Below are 23,260 nucleotides of genomic sequence, written 5' to 3' on the forward strand. Positions count from 1 at the left end.
TGAGAATTGCTTGAACCTGGGAAGTGGAGGTTGCAGTGAGCTGAGATCGTGCCACTGCACTCCAGCCTGGGTGACAGAGCAAGACTCCACCATTTCAAAAGAAGGAGGAGGAGGAGGAGGAGGAGGAGGAGGAGGAGGAGGAGAAGGAGAAAGAAGGAAAAGGAGAAGGAGAAGGAGAAGGAGGAAAGAAAAAAGAATATACAAATGGTGGAAAGGTATCCCACAGTTCTGAAACCATTTCTCTTATCTCTCTTCCAGTATATCTTGCAAATTCGAGGGTCTCTCTAGCACCCATGAAATTCCATCAAATGAAGTAACTTCCTGTCCTATTAGAAAATGCCCGAGACAACGTTATACAAATGATTAAATCTGTTTTATTAGAGACAGTCTAAATTTAAGTTGGTATAATAAATACAATCTTAAGCATTGCACATTTTATGAGATATAATTACTGTACATGTGAAACTTATTTTGAAAATCTGGAATGGATATTTTTAAATACTTAATAGCAGGAAGATCTGCTGGAGGGTTTGTATACTATAATTATACACAGTTGTGTGAAACAAAGGAATGAATGCAATAACATTTTAACGAAGAGATCATTTAATATAAGCCTTGGTTGTTTTATTTTTCCTCCTTCCTATTGAACATTTTCCATCAGCATTTCAACTTCTCATCTCTTTTGAAACCAGGCATCTTTTTAAAAATAATCTCTCAAGCATTCAAAGTATCCCACCTCAGAGGCTGTAAAATTTCTGAGTAGAGGATGACCAAGGAAATGTCATCTTCGGTACTTAAACAGTAATGAGTAATCCTAGGTTAAAGTCCTAATTCTCAGTTTACTAAGAATCTGACGTTAAGGACCACACACTGAAGAAATCTTTAAAGATTCATTCCTAAAGGCTAATTAAAGTTTTAAAATATCCCAATGACACATAATAAACCATTTACAGCCTTTGTGGTGTGCTGTACATTAGGGTACTGAACACCTTAGTTTACCCAAAGTGTTTCCCAGGACTCAGAACTTGTAGTGTTGATACCAGGAAAGTCCTTGGAAAACCAGATCATTTGATCACCCTATCACCATATAGTCAAAAAATGAACAACATAACTCTGGCTCACTAAGGGCTTACATTCTAATGCAGCAAGCAAGTCCACAAATGGTGTAAAAGTAAGACAGAATTAAGCCACAGCTATAAGAGAAGGCTGAACATTCAATGAGAGGAACCTAGAGGACTGAAACAATGAATTTTGACTTTAAATGATTCTGTAGAGAAAGTAGAATTTTGGCCATTGTTTAAAATTGGCATAGATTGAAAGAATAAGTGAGGCATGAAAGGATTTTGTGTTTGGAGATGACATGGCATCTCTGATATTGCTGGAACCTAGACATGAGTAGGGAGAACAGAGACTTGGGCAAGAGAGTAAAGAGGTTGACCAGGTGAAGGGCTTTGTCACTAAGTCTCTAAATAAAAGTCACTACAGGAAGGCTTTCAGAAAATACTATCAATTCCATGCTTCTTGTGTGCTGCAGACGATACCCCCTCACTTAATGGTCACCACGCTGTAAGGGGAGAAGTATTTTCCCCCTGGGTGGCCATGTGATAGAGTGGTTGAACACTTCCGCTACCTCTGACTGTGTGGCCAAAGGCAGTTTGACATCTAAGCATTAGTTTCTCATCTAGCCAATGGGAGAGTACCTGTTCTTAGGATTATTGTGCATGTAGTACTTATTCAATAACTGGTGATTGCTATTATTATGCTGCTTTCCTGGGGCATACTTAAAAATAAAGTGTCCAAGTCCTTGTAGCTGCTAAGTAAAAAGCCTAAGATGTGATATCAAGTCACTCCAAATAGCATTCCAAAAGTGATCATTTTTTTCTTTTTTGCTTATTTGTATGTTTTTACTTTTTAACTCCTGCTTCGCAAAGTGAGGGAGCTGATCGGATGTATATCTTAGGAAGATGATTTTGTTAGTATTATAAAAGATGCATGGAGGGGATGGAACTTAAAGCAGAGAAACAATAGAGGAAGCTATTTTAAAAGCTTAGACTGGAACTTTGAATGGTAGAGACAGGAAGGCGGGGAATATGATTAGATTCATTTGAGAGAGAGATTTAACAGGATTTAGTATCTTGATTTATGAGGCATGAGGGAAAGCAGACAATAATTCCTGGGAATTCTAAGTTAAGGAAAGAAAGGATTTGCAAGTAAGATAAGTGGATTTTATTTTTAGTTCTTATCAAAGAGACTAGGAAGACCATGGTAAATTAGAGGAAATTATAGAAGTAAATAAATCACCCTAAATCTCACCATCAATTGACATATGCCTATACTCTTTTTCTATACATTTTTAAAGAACTAACATTATCATCACTTTAATTTTGAATCTTGGTTTTTCTCTGTATATTATCAGCATTTTCCCCACATCTTTAAATGAGTAAATAGCCTTCCATCTGGTCATGAACATAGATATGTTGAGTTTTGTGTCTTTCTTTCCCCAAACTTTGCATAATATTTAATTTGTTGAATTCCAGTTTCAACAATCAAATTTCTAATAATATGAAATTGGCTTTTTGACACCACCATGCCCTTGTGATCCTGAGTCTCTGGTCGGAAAAGTTCTTCTGTGGTCTTATAGATTGCACTGTCTTAAAGGCTTTGCACTCAGAGATTCAATGGGAATAGTCAAAGGGGAGCAAGTGCAGGGCAAACACATCCCTACTGTAGTTGCTGATAAGACCTTCAGTGCTTAAAACTCTCAAGCATTTTGTGAATTGAAAAACACTGGCGCTATTCTGCCAAAGCTATACTTGGTCTCCCTGTAACTGAATGATATTCATTTAATCAGCATAACAGTAAGTGACTACTATGAGTAAAGGCTTATGCGAGACTCCAAGATTAGAAACGAATTGAATATAGACTTTGTTCATTAACCAATGGAAGAGTTACTTAAGATGCAGATTCTAAGATCATGCTTTTAAAAATCATGATTTACTAGGTTCTGGAATGCAGTCAATGAATTTGCTCTTCTAAAAGCCCTCCAGGCGACCCTGATACAGGTGAGAAATTCTTATAACCAGTAGGTAGACTCTAAACTGGGTCTACAATATACCAACTGTAGGACCCCAAAAATGTCCCTTAGTCACTCAAAGCCTTGGTTTCCTCATCTGTAGTACAGGGATCGTAATTATATACAATATAGAGTTGTGAGTTTAATTTAAAAACAGAACCAGATACATAGTTTGTGAGGCCCGGTGCAAAATATAAAGCTCCTTGTTTAAAATATGTTCAGTGATTTCAAGAGAACAGCAGCAGAGAATTAAACCAAGCATTGAGTCCTCTGTGACTACATAGATCACACTCCCCTGAAACTGGCTGATTGAAAAAAATGTATACTTATACAATATATAAATATACCCACACATCCATACACATGCTCAAAAAATGTAGCTAATTTTATTTGTGTATTTGAGTATAATGTTCACCTGTGTGAGTGAGAAAAGGTGGCATGAAGGAGGTGATGCCCAAGCTAAGGCTTGAAAGGCTAAGCGTTTGTAGGTGGACATGGCTGGAGAGAGGCAAACAGCAGAGAGAACAGAAAACACAGGCCCCACCACTACTGTTGTTGGGTTGCTGATGCCACATGTCAGCAAAATCAGCGTCTGAGGTTGAGGATGTTAAGGTAATGGATGTGAAAGAGCTTAGGATGCCATCGCTACAACAACAGTTTTGAGTGGGATACAAATCAGTACCAAGGTGGGCTTGGGCAACTGTATGGCAAGGCATCAATCAACCACCAGGAGGCGATATTGATCCCAATAACCTGTTTTCCAAAACACTACTCCTTCCCCAGTTGTTTAGTTTAAGAGATTTGAGACTGTCCCATAACCTTCATTTTCAGGATGGAGACTGAAATCCACACTTATCCATTGTCCTAGTTTTATTTTAACTTGTTTATTTTTTAACTGAAAATAAGCACGTGTGTTTAAAAAATGAAAGAGGTTTTTTACTAAAATGTATTTTGTGCTCACTACACAAGTTAGTACCTTTATAATCACTTTCCTGTATTAAATTTAATAGATTTTCACAGCAACCCTATGGAGTGGTACTAGTATTGTTGGCTTTTTAGAAATAAGACGATGGATTGAGTAAAGACTATACTTCAGAATTCATGTCACAGAGCCCAGAGGTAACCACTCAAAACTTTCATGCATATCTTTCTAAACTTTTTCCTTGTGAAAAATGTTTTTTTATATGTGCATGTGTTTATATTTAAACACAAATATAAATATGCATAGTTGGGCTTATTGTTTGTTTTAGAACAGTGAGATCATACATGTATTGTCCACAATTTGTCCTTTTAAAATGTAATCTATTATAATTTTTGCATAAATATATAAAGATATATTTTATTTAATATATTTTTAATTTATGTATTATTTACTTAATTTAATTCATTAACTTATTTGTTTTTCTGAGACAGAGTCTCACTCTGTCACCCAGGCTAGAGTGCAGGTGTGTGATCTTGGCTCACTGCAACCTCCACCTCCTGAGTTTTAGTGATTCTCCTGCCTCAGCCTCCTGAGTAGCTGGGATTACAGGCATGCACCATCATGACCAGCTAATTTCTGTATTTTTATAGAGACTGGGTTTTGCCATGTTGGCAAGGCTGGTCTCGAACTCCTGACCTCAAGTGAGCCACCTGCCTCAGCCTCCCAAAGTGCTGGGATTATAGGCGTGAACTACCGTGCTCAGCCTATATATATATATATATATATATATATCTTTTTGTATATAGTATAAAGTTCAGGTGTACATGTGCAGGATGTGCAGGTTTGTTACTTAAGTAAACGTGTGCCTTGGTGGTTTGCTGCACAGATCATCCCATCACCTAGGTATTAAGCCCAGCATCCGTTGGCTACTCTTCCTGATGCTCTCCCTCTCCCACTCCCCTATAGTTATTTATTATCTGTAAATAACTATGTTTGAAATGAACATGTAAAACGACTTACTCAAAAGCACACAGCTCTACAGTGGCAGAATTAGTACTGGAATCCAAGCCTTATGTCACACTAAATATGTATTAAATATTTGTGAATGAATGAGCTAACTAGTCCTTATGTTCATCACTGCTACTGCCAATGTATATAGAAAATTTATTTCACCCCAGGATAAATATAAATACAGAAATTTAGAAAGAAAAAAGATATCACCTCTAGCTGGAGACAATTGAAAAGCTTCATGAAAAATATGATACTAGAATATGGCCTTAAAGGATTGGTAAGGAAGGGAAATTTTATACCTCTGGAGAAGGGTAGGAACCAAGACATTAATGTAGAAAAGGACAAGTTAAGTTTGAAGAATTTTTAATCTAAACAGTTGGGTTAGACCAAGATTGTAGAGAATCTTAAATACTGAAGAGGTTTCTTAAAATTCCAGAGCAACCAAGGGCTTGGGAAATGCAAAGTTATCAGCATTCTTGTTCTAAAATATGCTATTATGGCAATGCTGACTTGTAAGTAACTTTTCAGTATTTTATTTTGCTTCAAGGAAAAACAAGTGTGACAGCAAAATTGTTTGCTTTTTCAAATTATTTTAATTTTCACTTCCTCTATTTAAAAAAGGGAAGCTTCAGAGAAGGAAGAAATGTTACCAAAAATGTGAAATTTTAAGAGAGAGAAGAATGTTTATGGGGATATTCTAAATTCAGCTGACTAGGAAATCACGCGATATGACAGGGTTTCCCCATGTAAGCATATGTGGTTAGTGCTGGATTGAACAAATCCACAGTATAACAAAAAATGTTTACCAATGTAATCAAGGAAAACTTTCATTTGAAAATTCATACATTGAAAAAGTGTGAAATATATTTGGTGTACTTTTATAAATTATTTAATTCCTCAATGAAACTCGTAAATGAAAGGTGCCTTTCACACACACACACCGATCCTTTCCATGAACAATGACCCCTGAAATGCTTTTTTTTTTTTAATTGAGACAGGGTCTTATTCTGTCACCCAGGCTGCAGTGCAGTGGTGTGATCATGGCTCACTGCAACCTCAGCCTCCTGAGTAGCTGGAACTACAAGCAGTCACCACCACACCCAGCTAATTTCTGTCTTTTTTGTAGAGAGGCACCTTTGCCATGTTGCCCAGGCTGGTCTCAAACTCCTGAGCTCAAGCGATCCGCCTGCCTTGGCTTCCCAAAGTGCTAAGATTACAGGAATGAGCCACAGCTCCCAGCCTGAACATGCATTATATGTCCCTATCCTTGTACATTCTGTATGTATAATTGTTACCTAGCCAACATCTCACATAGTTCTCTGGTCACCTAAAACAAAATGGTTGTCATTAAGAATTAGATTACATGTTGCAGATGAAGGATGTGGATCTGGCCTCCTAGGTAGAAAGGAAACCTGTAGCAATCAAGGCCTGATAAAAGGATGTGGCTTTCTGGGCCAGGCACAGTGGCTCATGCCTGTAATCTCAGCACTTTGGAAGGCCATGGTGGAAAGATCACTTGAGCCCAGCAATTAGAGGTTGTGGTGAGCTATGATTGCGCCACTTGGGTTTGGATGACAAAGACCCTGTCTCTAAAAAAATAAAATAAAGCTGGGCAGTGGCTCATGCCTGTAATCCCAGCTCTTTGGGAGGCTGAGGCGGGCAGAGACCAGCCTGGCCAACATGGTGAAACCCTCATCTCTACGAAAAATACAAAAAATTAGCCGGGCATGGTGGTGGGTGCCTGTAATCCCAGCTACTCAGGAGGCTGAGGCAGGAGAATCACTTGAACCTGGGAGGTGGAGGTTGCAGTGAGCCAAGATCACATCATTGCACTCCGGCCTGGGCAACAAGAGTGAAACTCCATCTCAAAATAAATAAATAAACAAACAAACAAACAATAAAAGGGATGTAGCTCCTGTGATCAAGCCAAATATTAGTCACAATGTGTGTACACAGTGAAGCTGTTGTCATCACCAAGTTAAATGTTCTCTCAGGCCCAAAGGACAAAGTTCAGACTGAGTATTGAGGTACCTCCATCTAGCAAAGGGGCTCAGGTCTCTTTACAGGAAAGCTGTTATCAGTTTTGACAAACAGTTGGCAAGCAATGTTTTGAGATTACTGATTACATTTCCAAAGAAGTAATATTGAACTTTTTGAAGTTCGGATAACTTAAAGGAAACATCATATAAAATAATGACCACACAAAGACAACTCTGGGGTTACAAGATACAAAACAAGATGGTAATAGGTTTTATGAAATAGGTGTAAATCAGACTTGAGGGCTAGTATCTTAACACTATTGAGTAATACGATTTATGGTCTTCTTTTTTGGTGTCCCAGCCTTCCAAATGACTGTATCACTCAGCTTCTTGTCTTCACACCACAACTGACATGATAATCTCCTATTATCTAAGAGCAATAGGTAAATTTAGAAAGAACTCTCTTAGCTAAAACTAAATCCAAAACTACAGAGATGAAGAAAGCTCAGGCTTACCTCAACTAAACTTTTCAAATGTTTTACATTAAAGATGATGTGGCTTATAATTTCCTGCAAAGTCCAGTTTACAGGAAAATATCTTCTTCTAACAGTGTATGTCCTCCTTTATCCAAGGCACTCTACGAGTGCTTTCATATGTGTTACTAAGCCTGATGCCAACCATTCAAAGTTGAATGAATATTTTCATTTCAAAACTGAAGAAACTGAACTCTTAGGGTTTTTAAGTTGCAGAGCTGGGCTTAAATCAGGTTTATCTGTTTCAAAGCCTGGGCTCCTACTGTGACAACTTCTTTATGATTTACAAACTGCTTTCCTATGTGTAATTTGATTTAGTGTGCACAGCGACCCTGTGAAGACAGTAATTGTCTACTTCTTCTCACCCTGTGATGCCAAGTTTGTTGAAAAGAATAATCTGGCCAGGCATGGTGGCTCATGCCTGTAATCCCAGCACTTTGGGAGGCTGAGGTGGGAGGACTGCCTGAGCCCAGGAGTTTGAGACCAGCCTAGGCAACACAGGGAGACCCTGTCTCTATAAAAAAGGAAAAAAATTGGCCGGGCACAGTGTTTCATGCCTGTAATCCCTGCACTTTGGGAGGCCGAGGCCTGCAGATCATCTGAGGTCAGGAATTCAAGACCAGTCTGGTCAACATGGTGAAACCCCATCTCTACCAAAATTAGCTGGATGTGGTGGTACGTGCCTATAATCCCAGCTACTCAGGAGGCTGAGGCAGGAGAATTGCTTGAACCCAGGAGGCAGAGGTTGCAGTGAGCCGAGATCGTGCCACTGCACTCCAGCCTGGGCAACAGAGTCAGCCTCTGTCTCAGGAAAAAAAAAAAAGGGAAAAAAATTGACCAGGCATGATGGTGCATGCCTGTAGCCGCAGTTACTCTGGAGGCTGAGGTGGGAGGATTGCTTGAGCCCAGGAGGTCGAGGCTGCAGTGGTCTGTGATTGTACCACAGCACTCCAGCCTGGGTCACAGAGAGAGACCCTGTCTCGAAAAGAAAAAAAAAAAAAAAAGAAAAGAAAAGAAAAAAGAAAATAATAATCTATACTTCTCTATTTTCTCACTTATTTCCTCATCCCACTTCGGTCTTATTTCCTTCCCCATCAGGTCACCAAAAGCTATTCTAATAGCTAAGTCCAATGGATATTTTTTCAGCTGTTTCCTAATTCGCCATGGCATTTACTGTTGTTACCTTGTCCCATTCACTTTGTGACAATTCTTTGTGCTCTTTTTTACCATTTTCACTCTTTCTCCTTCTTCCTTGCAAAAATCTCCTTTCTATCCCTTAAGAACCAAGGAAATAACACAGTATGGACTTTAATTAATAACAATATGTTAATATCGATTCATTAATTATAACAAATGTGCCATACTATTTTAAGATGTTAATGAGAAGAAACTGGGTATGGGGTATATGGAAACTCTCTGTACCATCATCTCAATTTTTTCTATGAATCTAAAATTATTCTAAAAATTAAATTATGTTAAAAATAATTTTACAAAACAGAGTTTTTCTAATCTCAGTGTGTGCAATGCTTAAGAGACAGACAGGAAAAACAAAATAAAGAATGAGCTAAATAGAAAAAGAAAACGACAGGCCTGGGAGATAGGGCAACCATAAGACAAATTATCACAGAATTCAAGTTCCAGGAAGGAGGAGGAAGGTGTCCTGGAGGGGTGTTTACACTCATCAAATACCATTGCAAATCCTGGCAGACGCACCCTGAGAAGCACTCCCTCCCCAGAGTGAAGCCCTCCTTCCTGCTGCTACTTGAAAGGAAGAATAATATGCCCAGCTGCCTGCCTCTGTCCTCTTCCCCATGTGCCCTATGGGGAAGCCTCGGAGCATGTCTGCTGGCCATAACGACCCCCCACCCCAGTTCTTCCCCTTTCAATTCTGTTCTCAAGGTCTGGGTTTATCTCCGTCTCTGCTCACTCTGACTCAGTACTTGTAAGCACATCAGAAATCTTAACTCTCCCCTTCTCTACCTCAGAGACCCTTTTGGATTTTATCTTAGAGATAAATAACAGTGTGGCCAGCGGTTCTTTGTCATATAGTGTCCAATGTCCCTTCTGTCCCCTTAGATCAGTGATCACCATCCTTTAATCATACACCTATCATTAACACACAAGCCCAAAATAATATAACATATTTAATTATATATTATATGCATTTTTCTAATATATTATGTCAATTTTATATTTATTTATTTATTTTGTGTGGGAGGTGGGGGGAACGAAGTCTCACTCTGTCTCCAGGCTGGAGTTCAGTGGTGCAATCTCGGCTCACTGCAACCTCTGCCTCCTGATTTCAAGCGATTCTCCTGCCTCAGCCTCCCCAGTAGCTGGGCCTACAGGCGCACACCAACACGCTCAGCTAATTTTTGTATTTTTTAGTAGAGACAGGGTTTCACCATGTTGGCCAGGATGGTCTCGATCTCTTGACCTCAAGATCTGCCCGCCTTAGCCTCCCAAAATGCTGGGATTACAGATGTGAGCCACTACATCCAGCCATTTTTATTTATTTATTTTTGAGATGGAGTTTCACTTTGTTGCCCAGGCTGGAGTGCAGTGATGCGATCTCAGCTCACTGCAACTTCTGCCTCCCGGGTTCAAGTGATTCTCTTGCCTCAGCCTCCCGAGTAGCTGGGATTACAGGCACCTGTCACCACGCCCAGCTAATTCTTGTATTTTTAGTACAGATGGGGTTTTACCATGTTGGCCAGGCTGGTCTCGAACTCCTGACCTCCGGTGATTTGCCCACCTCAGCCTCCCAAAGTGCTGGGATTACAGCTGGGAGCCACTGCACCCAGCCTTATGTCCATTTAAAAACATATGCAAAAATTGAAATTTAAAAAAGAAAGAAATTAAAACCTATCTTAGTGAATAATTTTGAACATTCTATAAGACAGCAACCTTTCCACTGTTATACATGTCCCCCTAGGTCTACAGGATGCTTTCCAAGGGTTATGGAGACAGGAGTGATTATAAGATGACCACTTTCCAGATCCTGAGTGCCTATATGTATATATACTAAAACTACCTAAGAGTACTTGAAGTCAGAACACTGTGCTGGGTTCCCCTTATCACCTCCTTATCACAACTGTTCTTTTTCCACCATCCTTTTACACCATACTATGATGTATAGCCCTGAGGTATAAAAAGCTTTAGGGCACTAAACAAACCACAGGACCATTTGAAGTGTTAGTGTGTTGTTTTTTTAATTGATAAATAACATTTTCCATATTTATGGGGTCCATGCAATTTTTTTTTTACAGTTATAGAATGTGTAATGATCAGGTCAGGGTATCTGAGGAGTCTATGACTTTGAGTATTTGTCATTCTGTGTTGGGAACCATCAGTCTATTTTGTAATATGTCATACATTGTTGTTAACTATAGTCACTCTGCTCTTATGTCTAACTATAGAACTTATACCTTTTATCTAACTGTATATTTATACCTCTTAATCTACTTCTCCTCCTCTCCCCCTCCCTACCACCCACCATTCCTAGCCTCTATTATCTGTCATTCTACTCATTACCTTTATGAGATCAACTTTTTTTAGTTCCCACATATGAGTGAGTGCATATGATATTTGGCTTTCTGTGCCTGGTTTATTTTACTTAACATATTGACCTGCAATTCCATCCATGTTGCTGCAAATGACATATTATTCTTTTTATGGCAGAATAGTATTCTATTGTGTATCTGTACCATACTTTCTTTACCCATTCATCTGTTGATGGATGCTTAGGTTAATTCCATATCTTTGTTATCGTGAATAGTGCTGCAATAAACATGTGAGTGCAGGTATCCCTTTGACATACTGATTTATTTTCTTTAGTATAGATACCCAGTAGTGGCATTGCTGGATTGTATGGTGTTTCTGTTTTTAGTTTTTTGAGGTATCTTCCTACTGTTTTCCACAGTACTTGTACCAATTGAAATTTCTACCAATGGTGTATAAGAATCTCCTTTTTTCCACATCCTCTCTCCAGCATATTTTATTGTTTGTCTTTTTAATACTGTCCATTCTAAATGGGGTAAGATGCTATCTTATTGTGGTTGAAGTATTGGCGTCTTGGAGGACACTAATGACTAAAAGATAGAGAGAAGAAGACTGATTGGCTAAGAAACTTGAGACCCAGGGAATGACCTGGTTTTGAGTTTCTCGGATTTTCCTTCGGGTTGCCTCATACACTCCTAACTGGATGCTAGAAAATCTTACAGCCCAGAAAGCCAATGGGCACATACAAAAATGCCCCCAAGGAAAGGCTGTTCTCTCTAGCCAAAGGACCAGGAAAGGGGCAGCTTCACAAACAGAAAGTCTTTTTTTTTTTTTTTTTTTTTTTTTGAGATGGAGTCTCGCTCTGTCACCAGGCTGGAGTGCAGTGGCACCATCTCGGCTCACTGCAACCTCCGCCTCCTGGGTTCAAGTTATTCTCCTGCCTCAGCCTCCCGAGTAGCTAGGACTACAGGCGCCCACCACCACACCCTGCTAATTTTTGTATTTTTAGTAGAGACGAGGTTTCACCATATTGGCCAAGCTGGTCTTGAACTCCTGACCTTGTGATACACCCACCTCAGCCTCCCAAAGTGCTGGGATTACAGGCGTGATTCACCGCGCCTGGCCACAAGCAGAAAATCTTCAGATAATAATGGCTCTACTCTAACCAAGTGCCATGGGAAAAACTGCAACCCCACCCCTGTCAGCAAATGCTCGATGGGGACCCAGATGTCTACCCTTACCCGGCTGTAAGTGGGGTCAGAGAGGGCTGAGCGGGAAGCTGGGCCTTTGACCACCTCCCAGCAGTAATGAGCCCTCTTTTTAGCCTTGGTGTCAATAGAGGCCACACACAGAGTAGTAATAAATCCCAGAAGGAGAGGAGAAAAAAAGAAAGGTTGAAAAAGTATTCAAAGAAATAATGGCTGAAAATTCCCCCCATTTGGCAAAAGACACACACCGACTGATTCAAGAAGCTAAGTGAAACCCCAAACAGGAAAAATCCAATGAAATCCAGGCCAAGACATGTCATAATCAAACTTCTGAAAGAAAAAAAGACAAAACAAATCTTGAAAGCTATGGGAAATGACACCTTACCAATAAGAGAGAAGCAATTTGAACCATAGCAGATTTCTCATTAGGCACCTCATGGAGCCAGAAGCAAGCGGTGTAGTATTTTTCAAGCACTAAAGACAAGAAAAAAAAATAGCATTTTGTATTCAGTGAAAATCCTTCAGGAATGAAGGGGAAATCAAGGCATTCTAAGATGAAGGAAAGCTAGGAGATTTTGTCACCAGCAGACCTACTCTAAAAGAATGGCTAAACGAAGCTTTTGAAACACAAAGGAAATGATAAAAAGAGTAATCTTGAAACAATGGGAAAAAAGAAAGGACAACAGAAAGGAGAAAAATATGGGTAAATACAATATACCCTTTCTCCTCTTGAGTTTTCTTAATTGTATTTCACAGTTGAAGCAAAAATCATTACTCTGTCTGATGTGGTTCTCGATATACATAGAGGAAATATAAGTTATAAACAGGGAAGGAAAAGACACTTAAAAAGAAGTAAAGTTTTTAAAACTGCACTAAAATTAGGACAGCTACTCTGAAAAATAGTCTTGCAGTTTCTTAAAAAACTAAACATATTCTTACTATGCCACTCAGCAACTGCACTTCAGGGCATTTATCCAAGAATAATAAAACTTATTTTAATATAAAAATCAGCACACAGATGTTCTTAGCAGTTGTTATTCATAATAGCCAAAAACTAGAAAAAAACCACAAATGTCCATCAATAGGTGAATGGTTAAATACACTGTGGTATATCAATACCATGGAATACTACTCACCAATAAAAAGGAACAAACTGTTTACATGCAACAGCTTGAATGTATTACATGTATCTCAAGAACACTGAGCAGAGTTAAAATAGCCAGTCTCAAAATGTCACATATTATCTGCTGCCAGTTATATATTATTCAGAAAATGGCAAAATTATAGAGTGGGAGAACTGATTCGCATTTTCTAGACACTGGGGGTGGTGGGTGGGAAAGGGTGGGTGTGACAATGAAGAGGTAATACCCTGGAGAGCTTCTTCACTGAACTGTGTTTTTCTTAGAAGGTGTTTCTCTTTTTCTATCTCATGCCAGAGTGCTTAGTGAATGACAGTCATTTCTCAGCTATTGCTAATGACACTGAAGTACTAAAATTTTTATTCAGAGAAGAGCAATTCCTCTAACTTACCAAATTATGGCTCTATAATATTTGACCTCTTAGCAACTGTTATAGCAGCAGAATGTGGTAGTTATCATACAGAAAATATATTATAGTTTTCTTTGAGATCCTTAAATAAGCTAGGGAGCAGGAGGAGAAAGAATAGCTCTAAGATCAAATGGAAATGTTAAAATATCATCTGGCTTGAGCTCTTTTATCTGAACCTACTAGGGAGCCAGCACTTTGATTTTAGGGACCCAACTCTGCTGCTTGCCAGCACTGTGATCTTGGGTAAGGTATTTAGTACTGCTAAGCCTCAGTTTTCCTTAATAATGGTTCTTACAGCATTGAGTTGTTGTGAAGCTTGAGTGAGAGTGTGCATATAATTACTGCCACATAGTAAAAACTTCAAAAAGAATCAGCATTTAAAGATTTTTTAATATCCTAAAATTTTTGAAATTGAGTAATTTGCTCATCACAGTTTTAGGTGACTATGATTTTTACAGGTGTCAAAGGACATTTGTCTAGACCATGAGTAGGAGAAAAATTAACCTAACTGAATGGGTGGCTCTGTCACTACTTATGAGGATAATTATCTAAAACAGAGGTTTGAACTAGGTAAACATCCTGGTGTCTTTTTGTTCAAAAATTACTCAGGCAATGTCAGCAATTATTTGCTTCCCAACCACTGCATGCATGACCCCCTGGAGATCTACAAAGATTATAGTCTGGAGAAAGTAAACTGTCTTCTGGTTACATTATGTCCCTGTCACCCCAACAGCCAATGATAATTATATACCTGGTACCTATGTGTGATGGAGATGAGAGAGGGGACAGGAAAGAGACACCCCTGCCCCTCATTGTGGGCCAAGCCCTGGGTTCTCCATGTTTCTGAGGAACACTGCAAGAACTGGTATTATTGTTCCATTTTAGAAACAAGGCCACTCAGTAAGAGTTGAAATAAAATTGAACCCCATCTATAAAGCCCTTGCTCATTGCAATATGGAGCTTAGCCTGTCTATTAGTAAAAAAGTAAAAATAAAAATCCTGAATACACACACATGCACACACTGTAGAGGCAGGTCTGGGTGTTATATGCAGGCTGCATCCTGCTCACACCATTGACGCTGGTCGCCCGTCAACGTTGCTCTAATAGTCCTCTGCTAATTAGGAATGTTCGCAGCTCAGATGCTTTTACATTGCAGGGGAGGTTGTGGGGAACAATTAAATGTCTGGAGTCTGCTAAGCATTATTAAGTACTAGCAATTGCCCTCTGAGGTAATTGCTTTTGAGCCATAAAGGGACAGTTAAATAAGCACTTCCATTTTAATATCTTTTTGAAGAGATAAAAAGGATTCTAAAATTCCATAATGTCTAAATTTGGTACTGCTGTTCAGGAGGTGAAGAAACTTTATAGTCATGTGCTTTTTATAAAGGGATAATTGCCTGCTTCAAAATCTTCTCTAGTTAGAATTTTTGGGGTTAAGCTCTAGAAGTTCCACAATGAAGGAGACCCCCTTTTCCAACCAGAAACGAATTCCCTGCCCAGGAAGTCTGTACCCCATGCAGCCAGACTCTGGTGACAATGTTTCTACGTGTTCAAGTAAATTTTCATCCAGTAAAAAGGTATCATTTTTCAAGTGTATCTCACAAAGGTGGCTAAGCTTCCCATCACTGTGAAACCTCGAGGACTAGGTTTGCATTGTCCCTTCCTCCTTCTGATCTGCGACCTTGCCTTGTCAACTGCCTCCTCCCCCTCAGCACTTAAATATCTTTACTTCTCTTCCTCCCACCCTAAAAGGACACATATTAAAACTAAAAATCGAAAGCGTCCTTGGCCCCTGTATCTCCATATATCTGGTTTTCTCTTCCTTCAAGGTCAGCTTGCAGCATGAACTCCATTCTTTAAGCCTCCATGTCCCATTAATTTCAGACACACAATGGCCAGTCTTCCGCCATCCTCTTCTCCCTTTCCCTTGCACAGACACACTCCACTGAAGGCGTTTTCATTGCATTCTCTGATGACCCCTTAGTTGCTGTACCCTACAGATGCCTACTTCCAGGTCTCAACTTACATGTGGACTTTGACTCTCCAATCACTTCTTAGAACTCTCTAGAACTTCCTAAAATTCTCTCCCCTGATTCTCCTTCCCCCATCTAGTCATCCCTCTGAATTTCCTTCAAGGTCCTTAAAAGCTGGGGTTCCCCAGAGTTCCCAAGAAAGAACTCTCTACATGCACTCTACGATGTGATCCTACTTACTCCCAAGACTTCAGCTTCCACCTTTAAACTAACCCCTCCTGACCCGCTCGCCCAAATGTCTCGAATCGGCAGCTGTCTTCAGGGCACACACTTCTTAGGCTTACTTGACATCTCCTCTTGGTTACCTCCTGGTTACCTTGAACTCATTCCATCTAAAACATCTGCACCCATTGCAACCTCCTCTTCCCCTAATGCTCTCATCTCAATAAATGGCTCTATAACCTAACTGTCAAGCCCAGAAACCTACACATCACCCCAAAAACTAAAAGCACATAATGTGAGGGTTCAGAGGAAGATTTCAGAAGCAGACTGCCTGAGTCTGAGTCTCAGCTCTCCTACTTGTCAGCTTTGTGTGTCATCATGGGTTGTATTTTCACCTCTCTGGGCCTCTGGTTTCTCGTCTATAAAATGGAGATAATAATACGACATACCTCACAGTGTTGCAGCTATGGTTTGAAAAGATAACTTTTTGTAAAGCACCTCATTGTATAGGTGTTTGTTTACCTTTTCTCCTGTTTTAACATTTACATAGGTCATAATATTCCCTTCAGTGTAAGGGCAGTCAGTATCCTCCGTTGCCCTTAACATTCAAGTTCCTCATCTTGTCTTTCGGGGCCCAACATGCTCAGCCCCAGCCCCAGCTCCAGTGCTCGGCCCAGGCAAAGGAAACACCCTGAGTATCCTTGTGTTCCCATCTCTGGGGCTTTTCAAATGTTCTCCCTTCTGCCTTGAAATGTGCTTTTCCCCAGTTCCCAGCCCCTTTTGGCTGGCCAGCTTCTACTAATTCTTCAAGTTTCTACTTGACTGTCATTTCTCTAGCAAGTCTAATTCCAGGACTGGTTTAGCGTCCAGCTATGATTCTCCACACCACCCTATAATTTATTTTGCATAGCATGTATGCCCTATTGTGATTTGTTGTAAATGATTCTTTGTCCATTTCCTCACTTAAGCTGTATTCTTTGTAAAGGAAGGCCCTAGGTCTCATTTACTTCTCAACCTCATTGCTTGTAATATCTTAGGTGCTGACTACATGAGTGAACCAGGACATGCACCCAGGGTATCCCGAGCAGAGCTTATACCAAATAAAGAAATCACATAAAAATGATTAAAATATGAATTAATATGAATTAATAAACTCGGGGATGTGAGGAAGGTGGCCTAGAAAATTCACAATGTGATCTCATGCGAGGACAGAATTACACAGTATTTTTTAGAATTAAATTTTGAATCCTCAGTGATAGGCTTCATTGCAGTTTCAAATATAGTAGTCAGTTTTTAAAGTAGAGTAAGATGCTCCAGCTCTGTGTTTTTCAACTTTTCAAGCCCTTTGTCCATTCTGATAAACCAAACAAGTTCACACCCTCACCCCCCACCATCACATTTGAGAATGACTGTGGAGGGGCTTCTTCCGCATATTCCCACCAGCCAAGGTTTTATTTAGTTAGTTGTTAGAATATTGAATATGCTTTTTCATGGCCAGGTGCAGGCACCATGGCTCATGCCTATAATTCCAGAATTTTGGGAGGCCAAGGCGGGCAGATCACTTGACGTCAAGAGTTTGAGACCAGCCTGGCCAACACAGTGAAACCCTGTATCTACTAAAAATACAAAAATTAGCTGGGTATGGTGGTGAGAGCTTGTAATCCCAGCTACTCAGGAAGCTGAGGCAGGAGAATCACTTGAACCCAGGAGGCGGAGGTTGCAGTAAGCCAAGATTGGGCCACTGCACTCCAGTCAGGGTGACAGAGAGAGACTTGGTCTCAAAAAAAAAAAAAAAAAGAATATTGAATATGCTTTTTCAATTTATGACAGTCTCAGAGGTCATATATTTTTCTCCACATCTCCTAAACCCCAGTGTTTAAAATAAAAAGAGACTCATGTATTTTCTGAATGAAACAGTGTGTACCTAAAGAGTGTGTGTTTTTTACTTGTGGGATGCTTCTTATCCTTTTGCAGCTGTCCTCTAATGATTGAGTTGTCTTCTGAACCAGGTGCAGTTATATGATAGACAATGTGATTCTGCTGATGAATGGTGCATTGCAGAAAAAATCTGTGAAAGAAATTCTGGGGAAGTGCCACCCCTTGGGCCGTTTCACAGAAATGGAAGCTGTCAACATTGCAGAGACACCTTCAGATCTCTTTAATGCCATTCTGATCGAAACGCCATTAGGTAGGAACACTTAGGTAATTTTGTAGCTGCTTGTGTATGTTATCACAGTCATTAGAAAATGTACTATTTTTTTCTTCCCTGTGGTCCAAAAGAAAATGTACTTTGATTTCACAATTTTTTTCCATGAATACAGTAGCATACCATGCAGATTCCTGGAAGTGGCAGAGACATTAAGGAATTATCTAGTTCAGCTCCCTCATTTTTCAGATCAGGACAAATGAAGCAACCTGCTCAGATCACATGTGAACCATTTGTAGTAGAGAAGGAACTGGAGCTCATCTCTCAACCTTCAAACTTTTCACTTTATACCAGGTCATAGCAAATAAATAATAGCACTTGTCATTCTTCAAAAAAAATGTAATTTTCTAGCTTGGTTTTACAGAATTAGTTTCTTGTCCTTCCATTTAAATTTTTGTCTAGATAAGGCTGCATATAGGAAGCATTTTCTTTCAGGAAGTTTAAAAATGTCATTTTTCTGAGATGCTCAAGAGTATCTGTCAAGTCATCAGAAGCAATGATGAAATGATTGTTAATTTCATTATAATTTGGCACTAACAAGAGTTGTGTTCAAAATGCTAAAGAGATAATTGTATAAGCATCATTATCTAATATTGTCAGGAAATCTGGATAGTAGCAATTCACTATTGATCGTTTGTCAAAATAGTTGCTGTTTAAGATAGATATTTTAAAAAGCAAAAAAAAAATATTTGTGTCATCATTAAGCACCCGATACTGAGATAGCATAGGCTGATCGAGAGAGGTTGAGACTGCAATCAGACAACCATGAGCATGAAACCAGGCTCTGCCCGGTCCCAGCAAGGTGACTAGGAGCAATTCAATTCACCCCAGTTTCCTCATTTTGGAAATAATCGTATCTTTTTATAACAGAGTTTTAAAAATAAAACACACTTTTAAGTACAACTCAATGCTTGGCACATACTAAAGTTGCAAATAATAAATATTATTATTAGATAGTGAAGGAGGAGGGACTTCAAAAAAAAGCCTTAAGTGAATAGCTCCAAGGTGTTGTGAAGATTAAATGAAAGTATATTCAGTGTATAGTGTAGTGAGTGAGGTTTAGGGCAGCAGTCCCCAACCTTTAGGGCAACAGGGACTGGTTTCGTGGAAGACAACTTTTCCATGACAGGAGAGAGGGGATGGTTTCGGGATGATTCAAACACATTACATTTATTGCGCACATTATTTCTGTAATTATTACACTGTAATATATAATGAAATAATGATACAACTCACCATAATGTAAAACCAGTGAGAGCCCTGAGCTTGTTTTCCTGCAACTAGACAGTCCCATCTGTGGGTGATGGGAGACAGTGACAGATCATCAGGCATTAGACTCTCATAAGTAGCACACAACCTAGATCCCTCAGATGCACAGTTCATAATAGGGTTTGCTCTCCTATGAGAACCTAATGCTGCCGTTGATCTGACAGGAGGGGGAGCTCAGGTGGTAATGCAAACAGTGGGGAGCAGTTGTAATTACAGTTGAAGCCACTCTCTGGCCCACTGTTCACCTCAGCTGTGTGGCTCAGTTACTAACAGGCCACGGACTGGTGTTGGTCTGTGGCCTGGGGGTTGGGGACCCCTGGTTTAGGGCTTACACATGATAAATGCTTAAAAAGTAATAACTGCTTTCACCCTCATTACTATTAGCCCTATTTAGTGGAGTGTATGGATTGCAACTCTGCAGTGTTCTTGTCAGGAGTGAGCAGAGGGTGGTGTGTTCAGGATACGTTTTCTACAGCTTATAATCTTGCTTAAGATTCATTTTTTGGTATGGCAATTTCTGCTTTCAGCTCCATTCTTCCAAGACTGCATGTCTGAAAATGCTCTAGATGAACTGAATATTGAATTGCTACGCAATAAACTATACAAGGTAATGGTTTTCCCAAATATTGTCTTTTTCTTGATTACACAATGTATTGTGACTAGAGTTCTCTATTAAAACTTACTTTACTCATTAACCAACTTCTGCAATTATGAAACTGTGCATATTTGGAATATAGCTTTTATAGTTCTGGCCTGTCCTCTAGTTAAATGCATGCATGTCAGCTTCCCCTAGCCAGCAAGATATTTGAAAGGAAATAACATGCCCTATTCTTCCATATTCCTAGCTCCTTGCATGGTACCTGGAACATAAAAGGTGTTTGGATGATGGTAGGTGAAGAAATGGGGTGAACAATATCAATCCATTTAAAGCAACCAGCATACATAGCAAACCTTCTGCTATGTAGTGTTCATCTCTGTCCTCAATCCTGTTAGTATCCCTGAATCTCACAGCTAATCTGCCCACACAATTTTAATCTACAGTGTGCAGCATACCAGAATGAACAATTTGTGTACACTGCATCATAGGTACCACTTTGCATAATGTGACTGTCTGGACTGTGCTGCCACCATTTGAGTAGCTGTATATACTTTAGGCTGAGCAAAATCTGTCCATTTTTAGTCAAATAACCATAGCCTCTTTGGACACTCACACACAGTAACTGAACATATATGGCATGCTGTGTTCAAACATGTGGTCCTTTCAAAAGCATTGTATTGCAGGCAGTGTTCCTTTTGGTAAAGTGACTTATGGGCCTAGAGGAGGCATCCTTGAGATATAACTAACAGAAGGCACCGTTCTAAGCAATTTATAGGCCTTAACTCACTAATCCACCTGGCAAAAATATGATGTTTATGCTATCTCCATTCCTCAGAGGTGAAAACTGAGGCTTGGAGAGCCAAGGTTTCTTTGGAAGAAGTCAGTTAGCTAAAACGTATTAGAGTTGGGATCCAAACTCAGGCAGTCTGACCCTACAGCCTTTCCCATATAGCTCCATGCTCAAAGCCATCCCAAATGTGCCTCTACAAGAGACTAAATGTCAGCATAGGGCTAAATCTAAAATTATTCACTGATCTCAGAAAAGAACTTGGCACTCTTGTTAAAATAGCAAGAATTAACCATATGAAATAATCCAAAACCATGCAAAAAAAGTGCTTGTTAAGTAATTATAAGTTATGATAAATGCAGTTTTGTCCTTTTCTGGAATTCTTTTTTAGACTGTGCAACATGCTGCAATGTGAAAGCTTCTACCAAATTTATTATAAAATATCTTCCTATGGGAGATGTAATTCAGATTCCATTAAAGCATTTAATAAACCATGAAAAGCTGATCTAGACATTTTCAAAAGGAATATATATTCATTATATCACTTTATGATCTTTTTTCTTTTTAAGTCTTACCTTGAGGCATTCTATAAATTCTGTAAGAATCATGGTGATGTCACAGCAGAAGTTATGTGTCCCATTCTTGAGGTAAGAAAGAGTCCTTGAATTTTGTTATGCTAAATAAGGTGCTTACATATTTTTATTGTTTTAACCTTACTTATATTTCCTTATCTTTGAATTTTTTTTTAATCTAGAAGTAAGACAAGCAGTACATTTTATTATACATATGATTTGATATATTTGATTAAGAGTTGTATTTTCCAACTCTTAAGTTGGAATATGGAAGTTTTCTACATGGAAAAGTTAGCTTGGAATTAGAAAATAATAATGTTTACACAGATTTGGTTATGATTCATTTTAATGTAGTATGTAAAAAATAGATTGTAAACAATAACAAATTTAGTATACTGTTGTTACTGGAAAAGGGTCCCAATCCAGACCCCAAGAGAGGGTTCTTGGATCTCAGCAAGAAAGAATTTGGGTCCATAGAGTAAAGTGAAAGCAAGTTTATTAAGAAAGTAAAGGAGTAAAAGCATGGCTACTCCATAGGCAGAGCAGCCCCAAGGGCTGCTGGTTACCTATTTGTATGGTTATTTCTTGATTATATGCTGAACAAGGGGTGGATTATTCATGTCTCCCCTTTTTAGACCACATAGGGTAACTTCCTGACATTGCCATGGCATTTGTAAACTGTCATGGTGCTGGTGGGAGTGTAGCAGTGAGGACGACCATGGTCACTCTCAGTGCCATCTTGGTTTTGGTGGGGTTTAGCCAGCTTCTTTACTGCAACCTGTTTTATCAGCAAAGTGTTTATGACCTGTATCTTGTGCTAACCTCCTATCTCATCCTGTGACTTAGAATGCCTAACCGTCTAGGAATGCAGCCCAGTAGGTCTCAGCCTTATTTTACCCAGCCCCTATTCAAGATGGAGTTGCTCTGGTTCAAATGCCTCTGACACTATGAGCAATGGATGGACTATAGACACTCCATAATCACCCAAATTCCCTCTGGTGAGGGAACATTGGGCAGCTGGGAACCCCCACAACTTGGCATCAAAAGTCCACTATAGCTTCATCCACAGGGACATTGTGCCTTACAAATCCTAAAATAAAGGCTGCCCCAAGCAACCCATGAACATTCCAGCTTTTGGCAGGAAGACTCATTTGTTATGTGATTCACAGTTGGTAAGCTCATTTAATTATGTGTCAAACACCACCATTGGTATCTACCTCTCTAGCTGATGTTATAACTTAATTCCTCTTAAGGACCACAGATTTCATCTATGCTTAGGAGTCCTCTTGCATAAGAATGTTGACCTGCATATGCATGGGAGATTCAGGGCAGAGATCAGAAGGATTTGTGGGGCATCCTGCACATAATTTGCACTGAGTATTTTACCTCCATTCCTCTTGCTAGTAAATAATTTCCTAATTCACTTAAAAAGAAAAAATATCACTTTGGGCTTTTGTAAGCCCTTACTTTGCCCTGTGAAACTAAATTTTATCTAAAGAATATTTTTCATCATTACATTATCTGGTACAGTGACTTCACTGGTGGGTGGAATTCTGATTTCAAGAAAAGCCTAATAAGCATTACCCTTCAGGTAAAAAGAAAAAAATTAACTTCATTTGCAAGTATTTCAACCTAATGCTCTGAAACTGCATATGATAAAACTAGCTCCCCTCAAAACATCTAATCATTAAAATTTTACTTGGTTGATGACTTCTGATATAGAAAAAGGAAACAAAAAAGTTTTATAGTTGAAGATATTTTGCTATTCCTTATTGAGATTTTGTTTGTTTGTTTTGATTTTTGAGACAGGGTCTCACTCTGTTGCCCAAACTGGAGGAGTGCAGTGGCATGATCATG

The 23,260-nt window shown here is 39.3% G+C and overlaps 1 protein-coding gene across 1 annotated transcript in view, besides 2 other annotated features; it reads left to right on the forward strand.

The window, feature by feature from the left end:
• Positions 1–23,260, forward strand: part of ATP6V0D2 (ATPase H+ transporting V0 subunit d2) — a 55,316-nt gene that overhangs the window by 22,567 nt on the left and 9,489 nt on the right. Inside the window, exons 3-5 of the mRNA NM_152565.1 lie at positions 17,981–18,159; positions 19,974–20,053; positions 21,401–21,478. Coding sequence (NP_689778.1) covers positions 17,981–18,159; positions 19,974–20,053; positions 21,401–21,478 — 337 coding nt within the window. The remainder of the gene's footprint in view (positions 1–17,980; positions 18,160–19,973; positions 20,054–21,400; positions 21,479–23,260) is intronic.
• Positions 8,979–9,480: an enhancer, noted in NCBI's record as "NANOG hESC enhancer chr8:87142684-87143185 (GRCh37/hg19 assembly coordinates)". NCBI's record gives its function as "activates a minimal SCP1, AML or CMV promoter by ChIP-STARR-seq in primed H9 embryonic stem cells {active_cell/tissue: H9 hESC(primed)}" and the evidence as "EXISTENCE:reporter gene assay evidence [ECO:0000049][PMID:30033119]".
• Positions 12,608–13,160: an enhancer, noted in NCBI's record as "NANOG hESC enhancer chr8:87146313-87146865 (GRCh37/hg19 assembly coordinates)". NCBI's record gives its function as "activates a minimal SCP1, AML or CMV promoter by ChIP-STARR-seq in primed H9 embryonic stem cells {active_cell/tissue: H9 hESC(primed)}" and the evidence as "EXISTENCE:reporter gene assay evidence [ECO:0000049][PMID:30033119]".

This window comes from Homo sapiens, chromosome 8 (assembly GCF_000001405.40).
Source record: "Homo sapiens chromosome 8, GRCh38.p14 Primary Assembly".
NCBI lineage: Eukaryota > Metazoa > Chordata > Mammalia > Primates > Hominidae > Homo > Homo sapiens.